This window comes from Homo sapiens, chromosome 14 (assembly GCF_000001405.40).
Source record: "Homo sapiens chromosome 14, GRCh38.p14 Primary Assembly".
NCBI lineage: Eukaryota > Metazoa > Chordata > Mammalia > Primates > Hominidae > Homo > Homo sapiens.
Genome location: NC_000014.9, coordinates 20,026,388 through 20,051,535, shown reverse-complemented (window position 1 = coordinate 20,051,535; position 25,148 = coordinate 20,026,388). Strand labels below are relative to the sequence as shown.

The 25,148-nt window shown below is 36.9% G+C and overlaps 1 protein-coding gene and 1 pseudogene across 2 annotated transcripts; one reads left to right on the top strand and one right to left on the bottom strand.

The window, feature by feature from the left end:
- OR4U1P (olfactory receptor family 4 subfamily U member 1 pseudogene) lies at positions 6,681-7,620 on the bottom strand (annotated as a pseudogene).
- On the top strand, positions 15,498-22,137 carry OR4K13 (olfactory receptor family 4 subfamily K member 13). 2 transcript variants are annotated; one of them, NM_001004714.2, is made up of 2 exons: positions 15,498-15,598; positions 16,555-22,137. In NM_001004714.2, the coding sequence occupies exon 2, from the start codon at positions 16,778-16,780 to the stop codon at positions 17,690-17,692; it is 915 nt and encodes a 304-aa protein (NP_001004714.1). In that variant the 5' UTR covers positions 15,498-15,598; positions 16,555-16,777; the 3' UTR covers positions 17,693-22,137. The 2 variants fall into 2 exon arrangements, with proteins under 2 accessions (NP_001004714.1, NP_001372958.1); NM_001386029.1 differs by having other exon boundaries at positions 15,498-15,894.
- The last annotated feature ends 3,011 nt before the right edge of the window (positions 22,138-25,148 follow it).

The window sequence follows — 25,148 nt, the reverse complement described above, 5'->3', positions numbered from 1 at the left end:
ACCTCACCCGGCCACCCATACTTCTACCATGTTTGATAGCATTTGCTAACAAGGAGTGCATTTATTTATATCATGTTGCTCATTATAACCATTTATACAGTGGCAGAGAACATAAGTATTTTCTCAGTGAAATATTACTTTTGTTATTTTGCTATTTGGTAAGAAAAATTTAAACACTTTTTATTACATTTAGCTAAAAATGTAAAGTCCTCCATAACTAGAGATATTACAAAGAAAATTATATACATTTATTTTGTTGTACATATTTACTTTTTAAATGTTTTGCTGATCATGATGACTTCATAATATCACTAGCTAATAAATCAAGGCACAGTACAGATTGTCAAGTTCAATATTAATAACAAAAGTAAATCCATATTGTAAGATAATATTTCTTAATAACAGAATGTTTTTAGCTTGCTTATTATCAGTTCAGATAGTTAAATTTTGTTGTTTTACTTTGTAATGTAGCTGACAGAGTGAATTCCTACTATGTGTAGAATTATTATCACAGTCATTTTATAATTGTTCATGCGAGTTTTAATCATTAGAATTATCTTCAATCCAAAGTTAAAGTGCAAAAATATTTTTATAAGCCCCTTATAAATTTTTGGAGAACAAATTGAGCTAAAATAATATAAAATAATCTTTAATCTCTCTCTTCCCCTTAATTGGGCACACCAAAGTTGCAATATATAACAATATGCTCAAAGCAAATGAATGAGAAGGGAACTGCTTTCAACCCCTCTGCCTTTTGGTTGACTTGTACTTTCCTTAGAAAACGTTAAACATCATGTATAACACATGACCAGATAAAATACAGATTCAGCTAGGGCACCAAAAATAATGTCTATTAAATATTAGTAAAGCTTTCTAAAAATTTATCTTTTCAAATTAAAAGAGATAAACAGATATTCTTATATTTATTTTGTTACTTGCTTGTCTGCAGGCAGCTTTAAATGTATTCACCGTGCCTTGGGAAAATAAGTTTAAATAACTGGCTAACTCAGTCTTCTTTTTTGGATCAAATGTGGATTCTGACCCAATTAAATATTCCTCCAGGTCCTGTACTTCCCAGACTCATAGTTTTCTTGTTTTTATTGGTTGATTAAATGTTTAGCCTAACTTATTGACTAAAATAAAATTCTGTGATTCTTGAAATATTCCTTCCCTGTCTCAAGTACTTAATACTTTCAATTTATATTCCCTTTACCGTATATTCACTGGTAGCAGGTATTGTATTTATCAAACATCTCTACCCCTAGTTTAACGTCTTATTTTTGGTGGATTTAATAAATTTGCTGCTTCTTCACTGATGTCCTTCAACTCTCTGATGTTGTATGTATTCTCTTTTGATTTTCTTTGAAGATTTTACTGGATGACAAATTAAGCTGTTCTAATTTCAAATTTGTTTTCTGGTGGCATAAGTACTTATAGTGTAGATCTTGTTCCAAGAAATAAGGAAATTATCCACAAGTAGTTCACAAGGGACTAAAATAAGGCCTTGAAGCTAAGTATTGAACTCAGCAAAGCTCAAAGCTTTATTGAGCCTAAACTGTATGTCAGGAACTTGTCCTCAGGGAGCTTTATCATTGGAGGCTGACCCCAAATAATAAAATGCTGAGCGTAGTAATACAGATATGGCATGAGTCAAACTCTGTTTTGTGGAGTTTGCAAATTTTCTTATAAAAGAGACCCCTCTTTCACGAACAGTTTTGCCTTTAATGATAAATAGAGACTTTAAAGGCAATAGAAACTGCTAAGAGAAACCAGAAGAAAATTCTAGGCAGAAATAATTATATGTAGGAATTTATGGGAGCCTAAAATATTGTGACATAGAAGTGAACAGAAAATATCTAGTATGTTTGAAATATACCATAGATTCGTGGAGTCGTGAAGAAGGGAGAGTTTTCAGTAAGGACAGAAAAGTCAGATAAGAATTTTCAAAGATCTGAGATATCAATCAAAGCAATATGGAATATATATTATAGTTAGTTGGCAACTATGGAAGTGGTAAATTAGAGGCTATGAAGAAAATTGACTTTTTAGAAGGCTATGGTAGTGGTTCTGAGAAGTAATTACTGTGTCATTTTAACAATCCAAGTAAGAAATGGTGAAAGCCTGACCTGAGGCTGTAGAAAGTGATGAGGAGGAGGGTATGGTTAAATTATCAGATGGAATTGTGAAGATGAGATAACAGAACTGCATCACTGATGACAGTGCATATGGAGTAGAATGTGGAGTTCCAAAATATTGTCTGCAGATATTTGCATCAGAATCAGATGCTTTTGTAATAAAAATTGGAGACTTTTGGAGTGACAGAGTAAGGAGCCTGGTGGAGTCTTTCCCTAACAAAACAAACATTTGATAGAGAAACTTCTAAAAGACAATAATTTAAAGCCTCAGGAAATTGTCCTAGGGCATACAGAAAATGGAGAAATACTCTTAAGAGAGTCTTCCAAATCTCTGTAAGAACAGCAAGTCTGGGGTTTCACGCCGCTACTGCTACCTCCTCTCCTATTTCTCTCCCAGTCCTGTAATATAGAAGCCCTCCTCTGGATGCTGTACTCCAAGCAGGTGTGGGAAAAAAGGCAGGACTCCATCTTCCCTCACTTTTAGGTGGAGGGCTATGGTTTCAGGTTTCACCCTGGGAGCGTTAGGACTTAAGTATTGCAGAAGCTTTGTTCCTAGTAGACTCTGAGGAGAGGATGAGGCTATCTTTCCCTACCTAGCATCTACTTGTAGAGTGAGCAGGAACAGGCTGAGAATACTAGCGCCCTCTTATCACCTCTGTCTTTTAGCTTGCTTGTACAGCAGTCGTTTGTGCCAGAAAAGGCAAGCCAAGATGACCAGAGACTCGACTCTTCTCAGTGCCCACTCAGAGAGCAGGCATATCATCTTGGGAGAAGTGGGCTGCTGTCCCTGCTCTTGTGCACTGGCACAGAAGTTCTGCCCAGGAAGAAAGGCATGCCATAAGGATGAAAACTCTGCAGCTCCACCTGAGGGGCCTACCTTTATTTGGAACAGAGCTTCAAGAGTTCCATGTCTATAGGCATTGTCAGAAACCACAGAGATGCTGATGGAGAACAATTAAGAAGTTGCTGATAGCACCATGTTTCTGGTATCAACATGTCACATGGCAGAGTCAACATGTTTATCAAAGAGGATCAGGCAAGAGACAGATAAGAGCCCTACTGGAATCATAGATAGTCCTGGGAATAGGAGACGCTGTGGATATGTACTGGCTGCATCCACTTAGAAGAAAATCAGAGGAAGGTATGGGGCAGAAATGAAAACATTCTTAAAGCCACACACAATTCCATTGACAAAGGGTTGAAGGCTTACTGGCACAAGAAGCTTAAGCAAAACCTCTAAGCAAACACTAGCTAAATAACAAACTACACTGAACCAAGAGCAACTTCTTAGGAAGCTATGCTTACAAATACAATCACACAGATTCCTGGCAGTCTGGAGGACTGAGTGAATGTCCACATGTGTGTAATTCTCAGGAGTGATTGGAGAGGGAACATTCTAGTCCCTAAATAAATGTGGGGCAAAAATGTAAGTTTCTTGAGTTTGATAGAAGCCTCCTAGCCACACCTACGTCTAGTGATAAAGGATAAAAATCTAATTGGTCAGGAAGGATACTTAAGCAAAATCTTTGTTCCATAAGTAGCTTGTGCTGTCCTTGACATAATCCACAAGTACCAGGCTAGGAGAATTTTAAAAAGGGATACATTTGGAGTAGAGACATCAGACACTGCACACTGCAGGGGAAATCGACTTCACAGGTTTAAGCCAAGTCATTAAATAAACAACTAAACAAACAATAACAAGAAAATCATCAGTGGATGGGAGTGGTGGTCAGTAATCAGAGTTACTACAATAAAATGTCCAATGTTCAAGTGAAAAATGATGAGAAATGCAAAGATACACAAAAGTGTGACATTTACATGAAAAAAGCCAATAGAAACTGCTTTTATGGGAACCAAGATATTGCACCTAGTAGAAAGCAACTTCAAAACAGTTATTATAAATATATTTTGAGAAGTAAAGAAAGCCATGTCTAAAGAATTAAAGGAATATATGAAGTCCATGTCTTAGCAAATAAAGAATATCAATAAAGATATAGAAATTATAAAAAAAAGGACCAAATGGAAATTCAGAAGTTGAAATGTATAATAACTCAAATGAAGAAATCAATAAAGGAACTCATCAGTAGATTTGAGCTGGCACCAGTTAACTTGGAAACATATCTGTAGCAATTATGCGATCTCAACAGAGAGGGATAAAAATAAGGAAAAATAAATAGAGCCTCAGAGAATGTGGAACACTAGTAAGAGCACCTACATATGTTATGAAATGTCAACTTTGGCTTCTAGATTGGATGTTAGCCTGATAATGATCATATTACTTCAAATAGGGAGTGCAGAAAAAATAACAGGCTTTGGAAGTTAGGTAATTTAATTTTTTGCATTTGGGCTTGAGATGCCTTCAAGATAGCTGGGGAAGGGTATAGTAGGAAGTTGAAAATAAAAATGTGTGAGTAGCTCAGAAATGAGGAACAAAAAAGGTTAGATGATATTATCAACATTTAGGTTACTGCAGAAAGCAACTACCACTCTAAAGGCTAGATGAGAAAAAAAAGGAAGCAATATTATACAGAGCCCACAATTCCTGTTGGCACAGTGGCATCATTGCTGCTGTTGGAACCTCTATCCTGTATTAAAAATTAAGAGCTCATATACTTAAGGAAGCTTCAAGAGCCTTCAATATTGCTGATGCTGCTGGGACCCACCAAGACTTCTACAGTCCACAGTTGCCTGCTACAGTTACTGAGAAAGACAGAAGAGAAATCTAAGGCTTCTCCATTTTTTCATTTTTTTTCACCTTTCAGTATCATATGAATGTCTTCTACTGGCAGAAACTCACAGGAATAAGTTTACAAGAGAGTCTGGGAAATGCAGTTTTCAGGCTTGTAACTCCCTACTGTAGAGAGAAGACTATAGAGCTGACATGGGGTTGAAGGTCAACAGACAAACATTCAGAATGCTCCCCTTTGGTTACTCAGTATCAATACACATCATTCTACATTTATTTAAACTTCCAAAGAATGACAATAGCTTCAGTCTAAAGATGCATCTATCCTGCAAACAAATTAAGACACTCTGGCCTCCTTTCTCTAACTGAAAACCAAAAATCCTCATTGGTTACTATATCCATTTCTGTACGGTGTTGCCATCTTTTCGAATTCATTCATAATCCCACATTAATATTCTGTAACCTAGAGACTAAATTGTAAATTAGTCTCCTTGATAAGAAAAAATAAAAAGGAAAAAAGGAACCAGGAATTTGTGAACAAATGCAATTTATATAAAAAATTTGTAGCTTCTAAAATCATCATTTTACTAACAAATTGTGAGACAATTAATGTTCACGGCTACCTTCTTTTACTGCCTATTTTATTCCTCTTTGTATGCATTCAGATCTCCAGTGATGGTGATTCTTTACGTGGTGGAATGAATAAAAATTTTATTTTTCCTAGGTGATGTAATGTTCACTTATTTTTACTACTTGATATGCAAATAATATGAGGTACAACAGCAAATCACTTGGGTTTCAGACATGGGCTTCCCTACCCAACTGTACAACAGCAATTCTAGTATGCATTGATAATTGGAGTGAGTCAACTTGGCTGGTTTAATAAGCTCTTCTCTTTTTAATTAGAGGTGAAAGAATACTTAAATGTCTGGGATGGGTGTGGTAGGTCATGCCTGTAATCCCAGCACTTTGGGATGCCAAGGCAAGAGGATTGCTTTGAGCTCAGGAGTTCAGGACCAGCCTGGGCAGCATGGTGAAACCCCATCTCTACAAGAAATACAAAAATTAGCTGGGCATTGGTGGCTCGTGCCTGTAGTCTCAGCTACTTGGGAGGCTGAAGTTGGAGAATCACTTGAACCTGGGAGGCAGAGGCTGGAGTGAGCTGATATAGGGGCACCGCACTCTAGCCTGGGTGACAGAGCGAGACCCTGTCTCAAAACAAATGAGCAAACACACACAAACAGAAAAAAAAAAAACTGGAGGGGAAGAAGATTCAAATGTCTTGGTATTAGTGACAGTATTTACTTTCAGGTTAATAAAATACCACATATTTTCTTTTTGCAAAGATTTATTTATTGAGGACTATGATCTGTAAAGAAGTGTTCAGAAAACAAAAAAATTATGTTATTAAAATGTAGATAGGAAAGCATTTTTAGTTAGAAAAACATAGATTTTATAGTTAGGTATAGGATATGATACTGGATCTAGTACTTATATTTCTGTGGCAATTTCATTACGTTTTATAATGCTCAGTTTTGTTACCTATTGATAATATGTAAATAATATTCTCTATTTTCCTTGTTGTGAAATAGGAGAAAATTTATGGAAAGTGCCTCATACATGAATAGCACTCAATAAATTACATTTAAAAATATAATTTAATCAATAGGCAACATAAAATTACAACATAAGCAAATAACATATTGGAATAGTTTGTACTTGGAGGAAAAATCAGAATATTATATTACATGTACACTTACATGGGGATCGATTATTATATCCCAAAATATGGCTTACGTTTGGTACAAAAATCCTCCACTTCAGTGTCTTTGGATCATGATGATGACAACAATAATGATGATGCTTTTAGTGATTATAATATTTTAGTTATCAAGTTGATCTAGAACTCACAAAGTTAATCTTCATTTTTCTTAATGCTTTCTTCATGTCGTTATTCCTGAATGTGTAGATGATTGGATTTAAAAGGGGAGCAAAAATAGTTTAAAACACAGACATCAATGGAGACAGTGCTGAATGGTCTTTCACAGGTAAAGATGCAAGCTCCAAAGAACAGTACCACCACCATAATGTGGGCTGAAAGCGTGGACAGAGTTTTGGAAGACCCCCTGGAGGAATGATGTCAAATAATAATCAGGACGGTGCTATAGGAGATTAACAGAAACATGAAACACAGCAAAGAAAGTAGTCCACTGTCTGCAATGACTCATAGCTCCAAGATGTAAGTGTCTGTACAGGCAAGTTTTATCACAAGGCAGATCACACACACACAAAAATATCCACAACACTGAGACCACAGAATGGCAAAGTCACTGTGAGAACAATTTGGCTCATGGTGTGCATGAAATCCATAGTCCAGGAGCGAGGAGCAAGTCCGATGCAATGGACTTGTAATGGAGGGGTTTGCATATGGCAAATTATCTATCGATTGCCATGGCTAAGAGTAAAACCATCTCACTTCCACTTAAAAAGTGAAGGAAAAATCTCTATGTCATGCAGCCTTCATAGGAGATGGTCCTATATTCACTAATTACATTATCGATTTTCTTAGGAGTAGCAAAGGAGGCCAGGGGCATATCAGTAGATGACAGGTTGGCCAGTAGGAAGTACATGGGAGAATGCAATTGAGGATCCAGTTTCACTACAAAGATAATGATTAGGTTACTTAATTATGGATATGTAGAGAATGGAAAAATAAGATAAAGAAAATCTGTAGCTCATGAGATTTTTGAATCCCAACAAAATAAATTCAGGCACCATGGACTGATTTTGTTTTTCCATTTGTTTGTCTGTTGGCATATATGACCTAAAACAAAATAAAAATTAAATTCTGAGAGATATGAGAAATGAAATACATATGCACTTAACACTGCTTCTAAAATTCACTGAAATGTGCAAAAAGAATCAAAAGTATTGAAGAAAAATGAATCCAATATTAAAAAAAGAGTAGACATAATTTCTCAGCAAAAATTATGAATAACTGCCAATATGTTTGAATAAATTTGAAGCCATCAATATGTAACTCATATCTACATCAATCTTGAGAAAGGTGAATAACCCAGTTGGTAAGGAGGTATGGAAGTTTCCTGCCACCTCTTCAGAATTGGAGGAACAGATTTATTGGTCCTCCATAGGCAAAGAAGAGGGCCTGTCCCTCTTCAAATCTCTTTCTACACTCAAAAATCATGAGGAACATGCAAGTGAAAGAGGAGGCAAATGGTTTTTTAATTGAGAAGGATCAAGAAAAATGAAATTGATAAGATGGAATATGGAACATGAACATACTAGGAGTCACTTCTGTAGTTGCTGCTGAAAGTAAGATAAGCAGAGATGATAAACAGAATGAATCCTTGATACATGTGAATCTATGGTTGTGCAACTTGAGGTGGCCTCAATTTTCCTGAGATTGAAAGAAGGGTCCAGTATTTGAGTTTCCTCCCATGGAGCACGTGAATTAGTAGATTGGGGAGTATAGTGCTCAGAGATAGCATAATGAACATTTATTGCTGGCTTCCCTCTGCCTCACTTACTTTCTCTGACAAGCAGCTTAATGTCCAAACAGATCTCTTAAACTATCCATACCATTTATAACGATATTATAAAGTGCAGAACTCTGGTTTAAAAAAAAAGTGATTGACAGGGAACACCTCCATGTTGTTCTAGATAGGTGAAGCAGACCCATGTGAAACGATACCCATTGAAATATAAATAATGGTAGCCAAAAATTTTGAAAGAAGCTAGCTAAGACATAATAATACAGTATTTTTTAAATGAGAGCTAAAATAACCAGAAAAAGATGAAATAGTTTATATCTGACTGGAAACCTTATTTTTATTTATTTATTTGAGACAGAGTCTCGCTGTCTCACCCAGGCTGAAGTACAGTGGTGTGATCATAGCTCACCACAGCCTTGGAATCCTCGGCTCAAGCAATCCTCCCACCTCAGCCTCCAGAGTAGCTGGGACTAAGGTGCACGCCACCACTTTGGCTAATTTTTTTTTTTTATATCAAGACAAGATGTCTCATTTTGTTTCCAAGGCTTGTTTTGAACTTCCGGCTTCAAGACAGCCTCCCAGCTTGGCCTCTGAAAGTGTTGGGATTATAGGTGTCAGCCACAGTGCCCTGCCAAAGAGACCTTACTAATAGAAAAGACACAAAGTAGATTTAAATATGTTTTTTTTAATTTTATTATTATTATACTTTAAGTTTTAGGGTACACGTGCACAATGTGCAGGTTAGTTACATATGTACATATGTGCCATGCTGGTGTGCTGCACCCACTAACTCGTCATTTAGCATTAGGTATATCTCCTAATGCTATCCCTCCCCCCTTCCCCCACCCCACAACAGTCCCCGGAGTGTGATGTTCCCCTTCCTGTGTCCATATGTTCTCATTGTTCAATTACCGCCTATGAGTGAGAACATGCGGTGTTTGGTTTTTTGTCCTTGTGATAGTTTACTGAGAGTGATGATTTCCAATTTCATCCATGTCCCTACAAAGGACATGAACTCATCATTTTTATGGCTGCATAGTATTCCATGGTGTATATGTGCCACATTTTCTTAATCCAGTCTATCATTGTTGGACATTTGGGTTGGTTCAAAGTCTTTGCTATTCTGAATAGTGCCACAATAAACATACCTGTGCATGTGGCTTTATAGCAGCATGATTTATAGTCCTTTGGGTATATACCCAGTAATGAGATGGCTGGGTCAAATGGTATTTCTAGTTCTAGATCCCTGAGGAATCAGTAGCTGATTCGATCAACTGGAAGAAAGGGTGTCAGTGATTGAAGATCAAATGAATGAAATGAAGCGAGAAGACAAGTTTAGAGAAAAAAGAATAGAAAGAAACAAACAAAGCCTCCAAGAAATATGGGACTATGTAAAAAGACCAAATCTACGTCTGATTGGTGTACCTGAAAGTGATGGGGAGAATGGAACCAAGTTGAAAACACTCTGCAGGATATTGTCCAAGAGAACTTCCCAAATCTAGCAAGGCAGGCCAACGTTCAGATTCAGGAAATACAGAGAACGCCACAAAGATACTCCTCGAGAAGAGCAACTCCAAGACACATAATTGTCAGATTCATCAAAGTTGAAATGAAGGAAAAAATGTTAAGGGCAGCCAGAGAGAAAGGTTGGGTTACCCACAAAGGGAAGCCCATCAGACTAACAGCAGATCTCTCGGCAGAAACTCTACAAGCCAGAAGAGAGTGGGGGCCAATATTCAACATTCTTAAAGAAAAGAATTTTCAATCCAGAATTTCATATCTAGCCAAACTAAGCTTCATAAGTGAAGGAGAAATAAAATACTTTATAGACAAGCGAATGCTGAGAGATTTTTTTCACCACCAGGCCTGCCCTAAAAGAGCTCCTGAAGGAAGCACTAAACATGGAAAGGAAAAACTGGTACCAGCTGCTGCAAAATCATGCCAAAATGTAAAGACCATTGAGACTAGGAAGAAACTGCATCAACTAATGAGCAAAATAACCAGCTAACATCATAATGACAGGATCAAATTCACACATAACAATATTAACTTTAAATGTAAATGGACTAAATGCTCCAATTAAAAGACACAGACTGGCAAATTGGATAAAGAGTCAAGACCCATCAGTGTGCTGTATTCAGGAAACCCATCTCACGTGCAGAGACACACATAGGCTCAAAATAAAAGGATGGAGGAAGATCTACCAAGCAAATGGAAAACAAAAAAAGGCAGGGGTTGCAATCCTAGTCTCTGATAAAACAGACTTTAAACCAACACAGATCAAAAGAGACAAAGAAGGCCATTACATAATGGTAAAGGGATCAATTCAACAAGAAGAGGTAACTATCCTAAATATATATGCACCCAATACAGGAACCCCCAGATTCATAAAGCAAGTCCTTAGTGACATACAAAGAGACTTAGACTCTAACACATTAATAATGGGAGACTTTAACACCCCACAGTCAACATTAGACAGATCAACGAGACAGAAAGTTAACAAGGATACCCAGGAATTGAACTCAGCTCTGCACCAAGCAGACCTAATAGACATCTACAGAACTCTCCACACCAAATCAACAGAATATACATTTCTTTCAGCACCACACCACACCTATTCCAAAATTGACCACATACTTGGAAGTAAAGCTCTCCTCAGCAAATGTAAAAGAACAGAAATTATCACAAACTATCTCTCAGACCACAGTGCAATCAAACTAGAACTCAGGATTAAGAAACTCACTCAAAACCACTCAACTACATGGAAACTGAACAACCTGCTCCTGAATGACTACTGGGTATATAACGAAATGAATGCAGAAATAAAGATGTTCTTTGAAACCAATGAGAACAAAGACACAACATACCAGAATCTCTGGGATGCATTCAAAGCAGTGTGTAGATGGAAATTTATAGCACTAAATGCCCACAAGAGAAAGCAGGAAAAATCCAAAATTGACACCCTAACATCACAATTAAAAGAACTAGAAAAGCAAGAGCAAACACATTCAAAAGCTAGCAGAAGGCAAGAAATAACTAAAATCAGAGCAGAACTGAAGGGAATAGAGACACAAAAAACCCTTCAAAAAATTAATGAATCCAGGAGCTGGTTTTTTGAAAGGATCAACAAAATTGATAGACTGCTAGCAAGACTAATACAGAAAAAAGAGAGAAGAATCAAATAGACGCAATAAAAAATGATAAAGGGGATATCACCACGGATCCCACAGAAATACAAACTACCATCAGAGAATCCTACAAACACCTCTACGCAAATAAGCTAGAAAATCCAGAAGAAATGGATAAATTCCTCGACACATACACTCTCCCAAGACTAAACCAGGAAGAAGTTGAATCTCTGCATAGACCAATAACAGGAGCTGAAATTGTGGCAATAATCAATAGCTTACCAACCAAAAAGAGTCCAGGACCAGATGGATTCACACCCAAATTCTACCAGAGGTACAAGGGCGAACTGGTACCATTCCTTCTGAAACTATTCCAATCAATAGAAAAAGAAGGAATCCTCCCTAACTCATTTTATGAGGCCAGCATCATCCTGATACCAAAGCCAGGCAGAGACACAACAAAAAAAGAGAATTTTAGACCAATATCCTTGATGAACATCGATGCAAAAATCCTCAATAAAATACTGGCAAACCGAATCCAGCAGCATATCAAAAAGCTTATCCACCATGATCAAGTGGGCTTCATCCCTGGGATGCAAGGCTGGTTCAATATATGCAAATCAATAAATGTAATCCAGCATATAAACAGAACCAAAGACAAAAACCACATAATTATCTCAATAGATGCAGAAAAGGCCTTTGACAAAATTCAACAACCTTTCATGCTAAAAACTCTCAATAAATTAGGTATTGATGTGACGTATTTCAAAATAATAAGAGCTATCTATGACAAACCCACAGCCAATATCATACTGAATGGGCAAAAACTGGAAGCATTCCCTTTGAAAACTGGCACAAGACAGGGATGCCCTCTCTCACCACTCTTATTCAACATAGTGTTGGAAGTTCTGGCCAGGGCAATTAGGCAGGAGAAGGAAATAGAGGGTATTCAATTAGGAAAAGAGGAAGTCAAATTGTCCCTGTTTGCAGATGACATGATTGTATATCTAGAAAACCCCATTGTCTCAGCCCAAAATCTCCTTAAGCTGATAAGCAACTTCAGCAAAGTCTCAGGATACAAAATCAATGTACAAAACTCACAAGCATTCTCATACACCAACAACAGTCAAACAGAGAGCCAAATCATGAGTGAACTCCCATTTACAATTGCTTCAAAGAGAATAAAATACCTAGGAATCCACCTTACAAGGGACGTGAAGGACCTCTTCAAGGAAAACTACAAACCACTGCTCAGTGAAATAAAAGAGGATATAAAGAAATGGAAGAACATTCCATGCTCATGGGTAGGAAGAATCAATATCATGAAAATGGCCATACTGCCCAAGGTAATGTATAAATTCAATGCCATCCCCATCAAGCTACCAATGACTTTCTTCACAGAATTGGAAAAAACTACTTTAAAGTTCGTATGGAACGAAAAAAGAGCCCGCATCGCCAAGTCAATCCTAAGCCAAAAGAACAAAGTTGGAGGCATCATGCTACCTGACTTCAAACTATACTACAAGGCTACAGTAACCAAAACAGCATGGTACTGGTACCAAAACAGAGATATAGATCAATGGAGCAGAACAGAGCCCTCAGAAATAACGCCGCATATCTACAACTATCTGATCTTTGACAAACCTGAGAAAAACAAGCAATGGGGAAAGGATTCCCTATTTAATAAATGGTGCTGGGAAAACTGGCTAGCCATATGGAGAAAGCTGAAACTGGATCCCTTCCTTACACCTTATACAAAAATTAATTCAAGATGGATTAAAGACTTAAACGTTAGACCTAAAACCATAAAAAACCCTAGAAGAAAACCTAGGCATCACCATTCAGGACATAGGCATGGGTAAGGACTTCATGTCTAAAACACCAAAAGCAATGGCAACAAAAGCCAAAATTGACAAATGGGATCTAATTAAACTAAAGAGCTTCTGCACAGCAAAAGAAACTACCATCAGAGTGAACAGGCAACCCACAGAATGGGAGAAAATTTTCACAACCTACTCATCTGACAAAGGGCTAATATCCAGAATCTACAATGATCTCAAACAAATTTACAAGAAAAAAACAAGAAACCCCATCAAAAAGTGGGCAAAGGACACGAACAGACACTTCTCAAAAGAAGACATTTATGCAGCCAAAAAACACATGAAAAAATGCTCACCATCTCTGGCCATCAGACAAATGCAAATCAAAACCACAATGAGATATCACCTCACACCAGTTAGAATGGCAATCATTAAAAAATCAGGAAACAACAGGTGCTGGAGAGGATCTGGAGAAATAGGAATACTTTTACACTGTTGGTGGGACTGTAAACTAGTTCAACCATTGTGGAAGTCAGTGTGGCGATTCCTCAGGGATCTAGAACTAGAAATACCATTTGACCCAGCCATCCCATTACTGGGTTTATACCCAAAGGACTATAAATCATGCTACTAGAAAGACACATGCACACGTATGTTTATTGCGGCATTATTCACAATAGCAAAGACTTGGAACCAACCCAAATGTCCAACAATGATAGACTGGATTAAGAAAATGTGGCACATATACACCATGGAATACTATGCAGCCATAAAAAATGATGAGTTCATGTCCTTTGTAGGGACATGGATGAAATTGGAAATCATCATTCTCAGTAAATTATCGCAAGAACAAAAAACCAAACACCGCATATTCTCACTCATAGGTGGGAATTGAACAATGAGAACACATGGACACAGGAAGGGGAATGTCACACTCTGGGGACTGTTGTGGGGTGGGGGAAGGGGGGAGGGATAGCATTGGGAGAGATACCTAATGCTAGATGACGAGTTAGTGGGTACAGCACACCAGCAGGGCACTTGTATACATATGTAACTAACCTGCACATTGTGCACATGTACCCTAAATCTTAAAGTATAATAATTAAAAAAAAAAAAAGAAAAAAAAAGAAAATAATATTGGATTTTTAGGGTGGGTGAGGAGTTGATTATGAATATCCAGGAGAAGTTAGGGATTGATAAGGTAGTTATCACAGGTTTATAAAGAAGAGAGTGATATGATGAAAAATAATTTTTATAGGTAATGTTAAATTCATTCTAAGAATAAACTGTATTTGTGGGGAGATTACATTATGCAACATCTACAAAGTGGAATTCTATACACCTATTAAAAAGTTATGTTTCTATATGTTAATATAAACATATTTAAATGTAATAAGTTAAAAACTCAAGAAAAATAGCTATACATATAATATATAATCTGCAGTCTTAATAAAATGATATAAATATAAATACCTGTAACACTAACACACACACACTGTACTGAAGTGTGTATTATTTTTCTGGAAAGTTATCTAAGAAGCTCTTAAAATGTTCAGTCAGTCTTTCTGTTATCTGTGATGTGCTTTTTTCACATTGGCATAAACTACCTTTTTTTTTAAAAGATAATTAAAAGAAAAAAACATATTTTAACCAGCTTTTTAAGAATGGCTGTTCTATTTCTGATTTTAAAATACTTCAACATTCAATTTGACATTTAAAAATAAATATTGTTAAAATTCCTAATGTTGTGGATTTTTCTGTGGATTAAGTCAGCTGACTTAATCTAGATCCTGAATATGCACTACATAGTTTATTCATTCAACAGATATTCACTTAGTGTTTTTGATATGCACTATTCCAGATGTGGAGGATTTATAAACTTCTTTGTATGTATTTGAAAATTGTTCTCTTCTGTTTAAATGCAGCTTCAAAAATTGGGTTTCAAAAAGAAGCATTAGTAGGAATTCTTAAATATTAGTCATAAAACTGAAGAGAGCTATTACCTTTATAGACATATAAATGAATGGCTCTAATTACATATTTGATGAAATTTAATATTTTGCATCAAAGTTTCTCAGAGTGGGAAATTGGCCAACAGATATGTTTACATAGGGAAAAAAATACATCCCTAGTTGGATAAGTGTTCCTATGGGATTATCTCATAGAAACATATAGCACTATGGTCTCTATTTTTTCTGTTTCTGATGATTGGAAGAGTAAATTGCAGATAACTGATGGGGATACAGGAAAAGGAGATAAAAGGCCATTCCTGGGATTCACGTACGACGCCATCACGAAAGTTTTTTTCCCCTGTCTTGTAAGTAATAACAGCACAAAAAGATGACTACAAATACTTTATTTACTGAAGGTGTTTTGTAAGACCTAGATTAATTTAAAACTATTAGCAACGGAGGCAATTTTTTTAAAAGCTGAACCAATAGAACCAGTTTGTAATAAGCATGAGCCGATGACAAATTTTGTCATAAATTTAGATTATACTGAAAGAACTGTATTTCTTTTACCAACATAAATGTTACATCAAGCTAAGTCATTTTGAAACCTATGACAACCATACACAGGCCAACCAGCTAACCACTACATAGCAATAACCAGGTAAATGAATAAATGAATGCAAGCTGAAAGTGAAATTAGTCAATTACATTTGACTGTGGGTTGTTTGTACACATTGTCTAACCATCTAGAGGAGGTATTTGATGTGAATAATATGAAATGTTGAATGAACGAATTATATAAATATATATAAATATATGAAATGTATGTAATATACATGTTTAATATATATATACTATACATATACTTGACACTTCAAAAGTGTGTAGTGACTACTGCTAATACTGATCTGTGAGGGATTCATGCAAGAATGGAGCATGGAGGAAATAAGGTAAGTTTCTCAGGACCTAATTCATATTTCTTTACCAGAGTCCATTTCAAAACATGGTTCTTGAGAATCCTGGATGTATTTTTGATATCCTTTCCACATTAATAAAACTCAATATTATTCTGTGACTATAAAACTCACCAGAATCATTATCTTATTCATAGAGATCTTTATAGCAGAAAGAGGCATTCGATACCATATAGTCCAAATTCTTTTTTTCACTGAGAAGAAAACCCTCAAAAGGAGAGTTACTTGTCCTGTGTCACCCAGTGAGCAGCTTACCCAGGTGTCCTGTAGAGGTCTTCTGATTCTAATTCATGACCTATAGTTTTGTGGTTTCATGTACTATTAATGTTTTTATTTTTGTCTTCCAGAAACTTATATTCTGAATTCTACTGACTATTTGGGATACTTCTCTGGGCCATTAGTAAAATCACTGACTGACAAAATTCCACAAAAGTAAGGGTCCTTGTAAGTTCAAGTGCCTTGACTGAGTACCAAATGTGGACATCAACATGAACATTTCTTTCCAATATGCATCATTTCCCTACCCCTTATTCTCACTTATTTTGATCATTATGGGATAAAGTTGACGATATGGAAAGAGCAAACCATTCAGTGGTATCGGAATTTATTTTGTTGGGACTTTCCAAATCTCAAAATCTTCAGATTTTATTCTTCTTGGGATTCTCTGTGGTCTTCGTGGGGATTGTGTTAGGAAACCTGCTCATCTTGGTGACTGTGACCTTTGATTCGCTCCTTCACACACCAATGTATTTTCTGCTTAGCAACCTCTCCTGCATTGATATGATCCTGGCTTCTTTTGCTACCCCTAAGATGATTGTAGATTTCCTCCGAGAACGTAAGACCATCTCATGGTGGGGATGTTATTCCCAGATGTTCTTTATGCACCTCCTGGGTGGGAGTGAGATGATGTTGCTTGTAGCCATGGCAATAGACAGGTATGTTGCCATATGCAAACCCCTCCATTACATGACCATCATGAGCCCACGGGTGCTCACTGGGCTACTGTTATCCTCCTATGCAGTTGGATTTGTGCACTCATCTAGTCAAATGGCTTTCATGTTGACTTTGCCCTTCTGTGGTCCCAATGTTATAGACAGCTTTTTCTGTGACCTTCCCCTTGTGATTAAACTTGCCTGCAAGGACACCTACATCCTACAGCTCCTGGTCATTGCTGACAGTGGGCTCCTGTCACTGGTCTGCTTCCTCCTCTTGCTTGTCTCCTATGGAGTCATAATATTCTCAGTTAGGTACCGTGCTGCTAGTCGATCCTCTAAGGCTTTCTCCACTCTCTCAGCTCACATCACAGTTGTGACTCTGTTCTTTGCTCCGTGTGTCTTTATCTACGTCTGGCCCTTCAGCAGATACTCGGTAGATAAAATTCTTTCTGTGTTTTACACAATTTTCACACCTCTCTTAAATCCTATTATTTATACATTAAGAAATCAAGAGGTAAAAGCAGCCATTAAAAAAAGACTCTGCATATAAATTTAAAGCATACTTTTTAGATGAGACTTTTGAAGAGACACTCTCTTGTTTGTTTGAACATTTAAGAAACTCGTTTTTAATGTATCAGGTTCGTGCAAAAGTCATTGCGGTTTTTGCCATTAAAGTAAATGACAAAATTAAAGTAATGGCAAAAACCACTATAACTTGTGTACCAGCTAACAGTTCAAGTTCCATATGAGGAAATAGTAGATGTAATTGTTAAAAAGCAAACACCTTTTTGTGATCTTTTATGGTCAAACACATAATATCTACAGTTTGGCTTGTATACATTTAAATCCCACCTTTATCAGTTTCTCTGGTGCAAATTTGAAGAAAATAAATAAGTTCCCTGTGATTTAGTTTTTTCGTCTATACAACCTTGTTTATATGCATCTTTCATTATTATTTTAGCATGCTCTTAAACCTCAGAAAACACATTATTATTGTTAGGTTTTTTGTTGTTGTTATTGGTAATCTATGTTTAGAGAAAGCACACAGATGACATCTCATCACGGTTATTTATCCAAGTGCCTTACAGGCTAGAAAACTGCATGTTCTGGGTAATCCCTGATTAGTGTGTATTAAATTATACTAAGTTGTTTTCCATAAACACAGTGTGTTCACCATTCTTCACATATTTTGTGAGCCTACAGAATGCCAGAAGATATAGCCAGGCCTTCAAGGAACTTACAGCCTATGGATAGATCGAGCAAACTAAATTGGCAGTTGTTCCATGGCACGAACAGCACTGTTACATGATGGACAGGGTGCTTTGAGAGTGCAGGAATGGCATCTCAATCAGGGCAGGGCAGGAAGGTTTCCACTTATAGTTAGCATCAGCTAGATGGAAAAGAAAGACATTCCACGAGAAAGAAATAGTATGTTGAGAATGCATAGAAGCATGACACAGTGGAGAACCTATACATAATTTCATTGAGCTGGGTCATGGGCTATGATGTTGAGAGATGAGATAGAGAGGTAGGTCAAATGTAGTCTGATCATATAATAGAAAATATAGGACACTCTTTGGAATTCAAAACTGTGTCATGCTGAAATTTAAAAGAGAGACAGGAAGGAAAAAAAGTAAGCATAGACCATTCCTGTCCCAACTTGTACATTGTACTGCTTCTATTCCAAGTTTATCTCCCCCTTCTTAGCTCTGTTCATATTTCTCTTTGCAATCTAGGCAACTAGGCCTGTAACTGACTTGAAGGCTAAAGCAAATTTAAGGCAACTGGGTATGGGAGAAGATGTCTACTGTCTTTCAACTTCAGCATAAATCCAAAAAGAACTTTATGCCTTTTATTGGATATATTATACCTAGTATCCAGAAAAGCCATTCCAGAGACAGAAGATAAAACATTGAGTACTAGGTCTCTAACATGTTATTTTTTAGATCATTTGTTACATAAAGGGCACAGTCACATCAGCCTTAGTTGTTTCATACTGAGCAACCAATTTTATGGAGAAAACATTTTGTGTACAAGTTGAATTATTGTGACCAAGGATCCCAGCCTCAAAATGCATTTTCAAACTTTTTTTTTCTTTCTTTCTGAATCTCAGAATGTAGCCTTGTGTTGTAAGACTTTGTCTCCCTTTCCCACCAGGTACATTCATACACAGTGTTTCTTATCTAATTAAGGACTTGCTTAGAAATCCTAGGGGCCGATTTTGAAACAAACAAGGCAGGGAAACCTGGCTGCAGAATCCTCCCTTGAGAGGGGAATTACTTACAGTTAACCCACCACTACCAGGCCAAAGTCAGGAAAAGGCAAATCAGGCCTCAGGACAGACCATCACTCAAGATAACCTTCAGAACAAAACACGCAGACCTGCACGTTCCTGCACTATTCCCACATATTTCCCATATCTTTTCCGTCTTAAACTCCTTTACTTAGCCCCCAAACGGGGAATGGTCTGTTAAAGGCATGAGCCTGGCCATCCCCCACCTGCTTGCATTTGAATAAAATTGCTTTCCTTTTACCACACCTTGCTGCACTTGTTTTCAGCCTCTGAGCGGGGAGGTGGGCATGGGTGGGTGTGTTGGGGGCTCGGGGTGGGGGGAGGCGGGGGAGACTTCAGCTGGTTATATTTTAAGCTGGTTATATTATATCTAACTAGAAATAGCTCTTTTCTGAACACATACTATGAAAATACCCATAGGTTTAATATAATCTAGAGTTTTGTTTTTAAAAGGCTATTATTGATTGGTTGATGTGACTGACAATTTGTTGAGCAAATTGTCACGAATTTGTGATATAAATTATTTGTAAGTTATTTATGTATTTCTTATGTCAAGAAAAAAGCTACCAACTACTATTATGTATTTCTTATGCCAGAGAAAGCTACTAACTACTCAATATTTTTCCCAAATAATTTAGCTAATTTTCAAAACAGTATTATTTGAAAAATAATCTACCCTGTCCCCTTGTTATGTGAAATTTGTGAACTGTCTTTATTAGAAGGAGTTATTTTTTCCCTCTCCCAACATGCTAGCTACTATCAAGCATATAATACAGAAACCCTCACCCTGACAGCCAGTAGAGGCACCGCCCTCCTTCTGCCTGCCATTCACTTGCTCTCCTTCTAAGCACGTGATGTGATTTATAGATGACTGAAATTTGGAAACGAGACTGAGCATGAGGTTCTCGGCGTTTTACAGTATTGCTGTTTCAGAGGAGCCGAGGCACACAGTTCTAAACCCCAGTTAAGGGGTAGCACCTGTTTTCCATGGGCAAATTTGTTAACACCTCAAACTGTCTTCCTGTCAGGGTCCTCTGCTCTTGGAGGAATGTGTAATTTATTTTATTTATTTATTTATTTGAGACGGAGTATCACTCTGTTGCCCAGGCTGGAGTGCAGTGGCGCAATCTCTGCTCACCGCAACCTCCGCCTCCCGAGTTCAAGTGATTCTCCTCTCTCAGCCCCCTGAGTAGCTGGGATTACAGGCGCCCACCACTGCGCCTGGCTCATTTTTGTATTTTTAGTAGAGACAGGGTTTGGGCATGTTGGCCAGGGTAGTCTCGAACTCCTGACATTAGGTAATCCACTCACGTTGGCCTCCCAAAGTGCTGGGATTACAGGCGTGAGCCACTGTGCCTAGCCAGAATGTGCACTTTAGAATTATCCTTGTCTCTGCCCAGCTAAATGTTTGTTCTGCAAACTCTCTATTTAAGGGGATCCCAGGGTTAAAATTAAGGGAAAGTAGTAGGAAGACTCTTGGGGTTTTAAGTCCAGTGCAACTTTACCAGTAATAATACTGATATTTGTCTCTTCCTATTCACAATTCTACCTATGAATTTGTTCAGGACTCACAAGGGAGAAGGGAAGATTGACACTTCAGAGAACCCTACAATCAATTCATAGTACAAATATTAAGCTTTTTGTTTCATTTTTCAAGTACAGTTTACATATAGAAAAAATGACTCTTTAGTGTATGGTTTTGTGAGCTTTTATAGCAATTTATTTTTTATTATTTTAATTTTTTAAAATTTATTTTTAATTATTATGAATATATAATAGTTGCACATATTTATGAGGTACTGGAGATGTTTTGATGCAAGCAAAGAATGTATAATGAACAATTCAGGGTAATTGGCTGGATTGTTGACAAATGCCCATAGTTATATAATTATCAAATCTCAGAGATAGAACAGTTTCATCAACCCAAAAATGCTCCTGTCCCCCACAGTAGTCACCTCCTCCTTCCCATTTCCTGTCCTTGACAGTAGCCATCTGACTGTGCTCTTAGAGTTTGCTTTTTCAAGATTGTCATATAGGTAGAATCATACAGCAAATAGCCTGTTGAGGGTGGCTTTTTTCACTTGGCGCAATGTCTTCTGAGATTAGTTCAGTAGCAAGCTGATTTAATTAATGTAAATCTATATTACATTTTATTATTTTATTTTATTTGTTTTTTTGAGATGGAGTCTTGCCCTGTCACCCAGGCTGTAGTGCAGTGGCTCAATTTTGGCTCACTGCAACCTCCACCTCCCCAGTTCAAGCAATTCTCCTGCCTCAGCCTCCCAAGTAGCTGGGATTGCAGGTGTGTGCCACCATTCCTGGCTAATTTTTGTATTTTTGGTAGAGACAAAGTTTTGTCATATTGGCCAGGCTGGTCTCGAACTCCTGACCTCAAGTGGTCCACCCACCTCAGGCTCCCAAAATGCTGGGATTACAGGCACTGTGAGCCACTGTGCCTGGCCTATATTACATTTTAATATCTACCCATATAAGTACTCCCGTTACTATTCTTCCTCAAACTATCTTCGTTTGTGTCATTCGATTCTTCATTTACGTTAACTAGTGTGATTTTACCAAATAATATGAACACTATATCTTTATAACTGCATTAACCAAAACATTGTTTCAGGGATAAATATATATTGGTATTGACCACATTTGACTTTCCTATCCTAGAACGTGGTTTAATTTTTAACTTATTTGGGTCTTCTTTTGTGACTTCAGTAATGTTTTATAACTTTTTTCATTATATACTGAAAGTTACAAAACTTATGAATTATTTTATTTTAATTTTGATGAAGTAATTTTTCAATTGTATTTTTTGTTATTTCTCAAATGTTGATAATCATATATATGTATATGCATATATATATATATGTTTCTTTATTTGTAACTAGCCACTATACTAAACTCTCTAATTCAAATTTTAGTTGATTTTCTTGGGCCTACTATATAATGTCTCATATGCTATGTTTTCCTATTACCTTTTAATGTCTTATTTCATATTTTAGCTTATGACATGTCTAGGACTTAGTATTTTCTTCTGATATTTTTTCCTGAAAAGTAAATGATATGGAGATATGACATAAAAGTTCTGAGACAGTCCTCCAGCATGGATAATTCCTGATTTTAATATGTTTTTTAAATATGGTAAATATTTGACATTTGACTTTTTTAACAAAAATAAATATATTTGGAATGATGAAAACTTTACTTTGCACTTGGCTTATTTGCTATGGACAAATTTATTAATTTTGGTGGAGGTATTGTCAACATTTCTAACAGGTAGATGTAAATCTTTAATTGGTATAAAATCTAAGAAAGTGAAACTGCAGTTGAAAGTTACAACTTCCAGCCAAAACTGAAACAAGTAAAGTTTACAAGGAACTTAGCTACCACCTAGTGAATACTGTGTTTTTTTGCTTTGCTTTAAACAAGAAACCAAGAGTTAGGAAGATGGAAAATTTACTAAAATGGGCTGGAGTCTTTCCAGTCTTCTAAGAGCAAGCTAAAGGCAGACTTAAATCTTACAGCTTCCAAAGAGGCGGTCAAGCTGGTAACTCTCTCACCATTACCCAAAATAGCCTTTTTCACAGGCAAATTTGAACATTACTTTGAGATATTTCCTTCCACTGGAACCCATCAGCCAAGTTCAGAATTCCAGTGGACATCACAACCCATTAAGTCACCATTAGAAATTAAATTCTTCTGAAAGTGGCAAGGCAGATAGTAACAAGAAATGACCTGGATATCAAAACAATTGTTCATAGTTTAAAATGTATTGCCTACCATAGATTCAAAATTCAAAGTCTTTAACTTCACTAAAAGTATAAGTTATTCTTCCAAATTTCAGGAGGAACTAAAAATGTATAATACCTCTTACAATCTAATTTGCAAAGTGTAACAATTTGCTCAGAGTTATTCTTCCAAGAGATTTTACATTAAGCATAATTGGTCAGATAGATTGAAATGTCTAGAGAAAAATAGAAACTGTGTTTCAGGCTACCAAAGAAAGAGTAGTCAAAAGCAATTCTTCAGTCTGCACCCAAAATGTTGTTCTTTTTATAAAAAATGAAGAATCTGATGAAAAACTAAGCAAATAGACTGTAATTGCAGTCTTTGAGCATCTCAGTCTTAATCCCATGTTATGTATAAGAGAACTAGGGTATAGGGGAATGGTTCCTAACTTACCCAAGTTTCCATAATTAGCAAGCAAAAGAAGTGAAATTGAAATCCAGTCTGTTTTTGTAGTCTACGCACCTTTTCATAACACTATGCTACCTCAAACAGTAGGTTCTGGACACCACATTTGTAAATAACCTTCTTCCCCAAATCTAGAAACAGCATGCAATGTAAGAGTTTGTGGAGAAGAATCCCTGGGTGAATATGCAAAGACTAATTTATTGCTCTTATAAACTCAAGACAAAGAAAAGGAATGTACATTCCTACAACTGTAAAATTCACCTTCTCACACCTAGTGGGGTTTTGAAAATGATTACATGCATCCATGTGATAAAATTAGCAAATAGCATTGATTGAAAGGACTCAAACACAAAACACAAACACAAAACAGTACATAATATACAAGCACATCCATAGAAAATCTAAATGGAAATATAGCGGGTAATAGTGGCTCCCAAAATTCACATCTAACAAAAATCTCAGAATATGACCTAATTTAGAAATAGAGTTTTTCAGGTCAGGCGCGGTGGCTCACGCCTGTAATCCCAGCACTTTCGGAGGCCAAGGCAGGCAGATCACAAGGTCAGGAGATTGAGACCATCCTAGCTAATACAGTGAAACCCCTTCTCTACTAAAAATACAAAAAAATTAGCTGGGCGTGGTGGCGTGCACCTGCAGTCCCAGCTATTCGGGAGGCTGAGGCAGGAGAATGGCGTGAACCTGGGAGGCAGAGCTTACAGTGAGCCCAGATCGCACCACTGCACTCCAGCCTGGGTGACAGAGCGAGACTCTGTCTCAAAAAAAAAATAAAATAAAATAGAGTTTTGCAGAAATAATTAAGGTAAGGACCAAAATGAGATCATACTAATTAGTGTGGACACAAACTGCAATGAGTGTCTAAAAGAGACAGGAAAGGACACACACACAGAGGAAAAGGCCCAGAGATAAAGCACAACTCCAGAGATTGGAGTTGTGCTGCCACAAACCAAGGAACACCTGGGCTTTCAGAGGCTGGAGGAGGCAGGGAAGGTTTCATCCCTAAAGCCTTCAGAGGGAGGATGGGCCTGCTGACACCTTAATTTCAGACTTCTGTTCTGTAGATCTGTGAGAGAATACATTTTTGTTGTTTTAAGCCACAATGTTTGTGGTAATTTGTGATGGCAGCCCTAGAAAACTAATGCAACAGACAAAGCTGATTTCTTCTATTATAATATAATTACAGCTAAATCTAAATGTGAGCCATAAATTTGACAAAAAGTAGCGAGTTAGACGATGCAAATTGATGGCAAGAAAGTGGAAATACATGACTTCTCATACAGTTGATAGGAGGCAAACCAGTTTGGAAAGAAATTTGGAATTATTTAATTAAAATAAATATATGCATACAATACTGCTAGGAAATTCCTCTCCTGAATAGTTACTCTGAGAGAACTAGAAATACCATTTGACCCAGCAACCCCATTACTGGGTATACACCCAAAAGATTATGCATCATTCTACTATAAAGACACATACACACACATGTTTACTG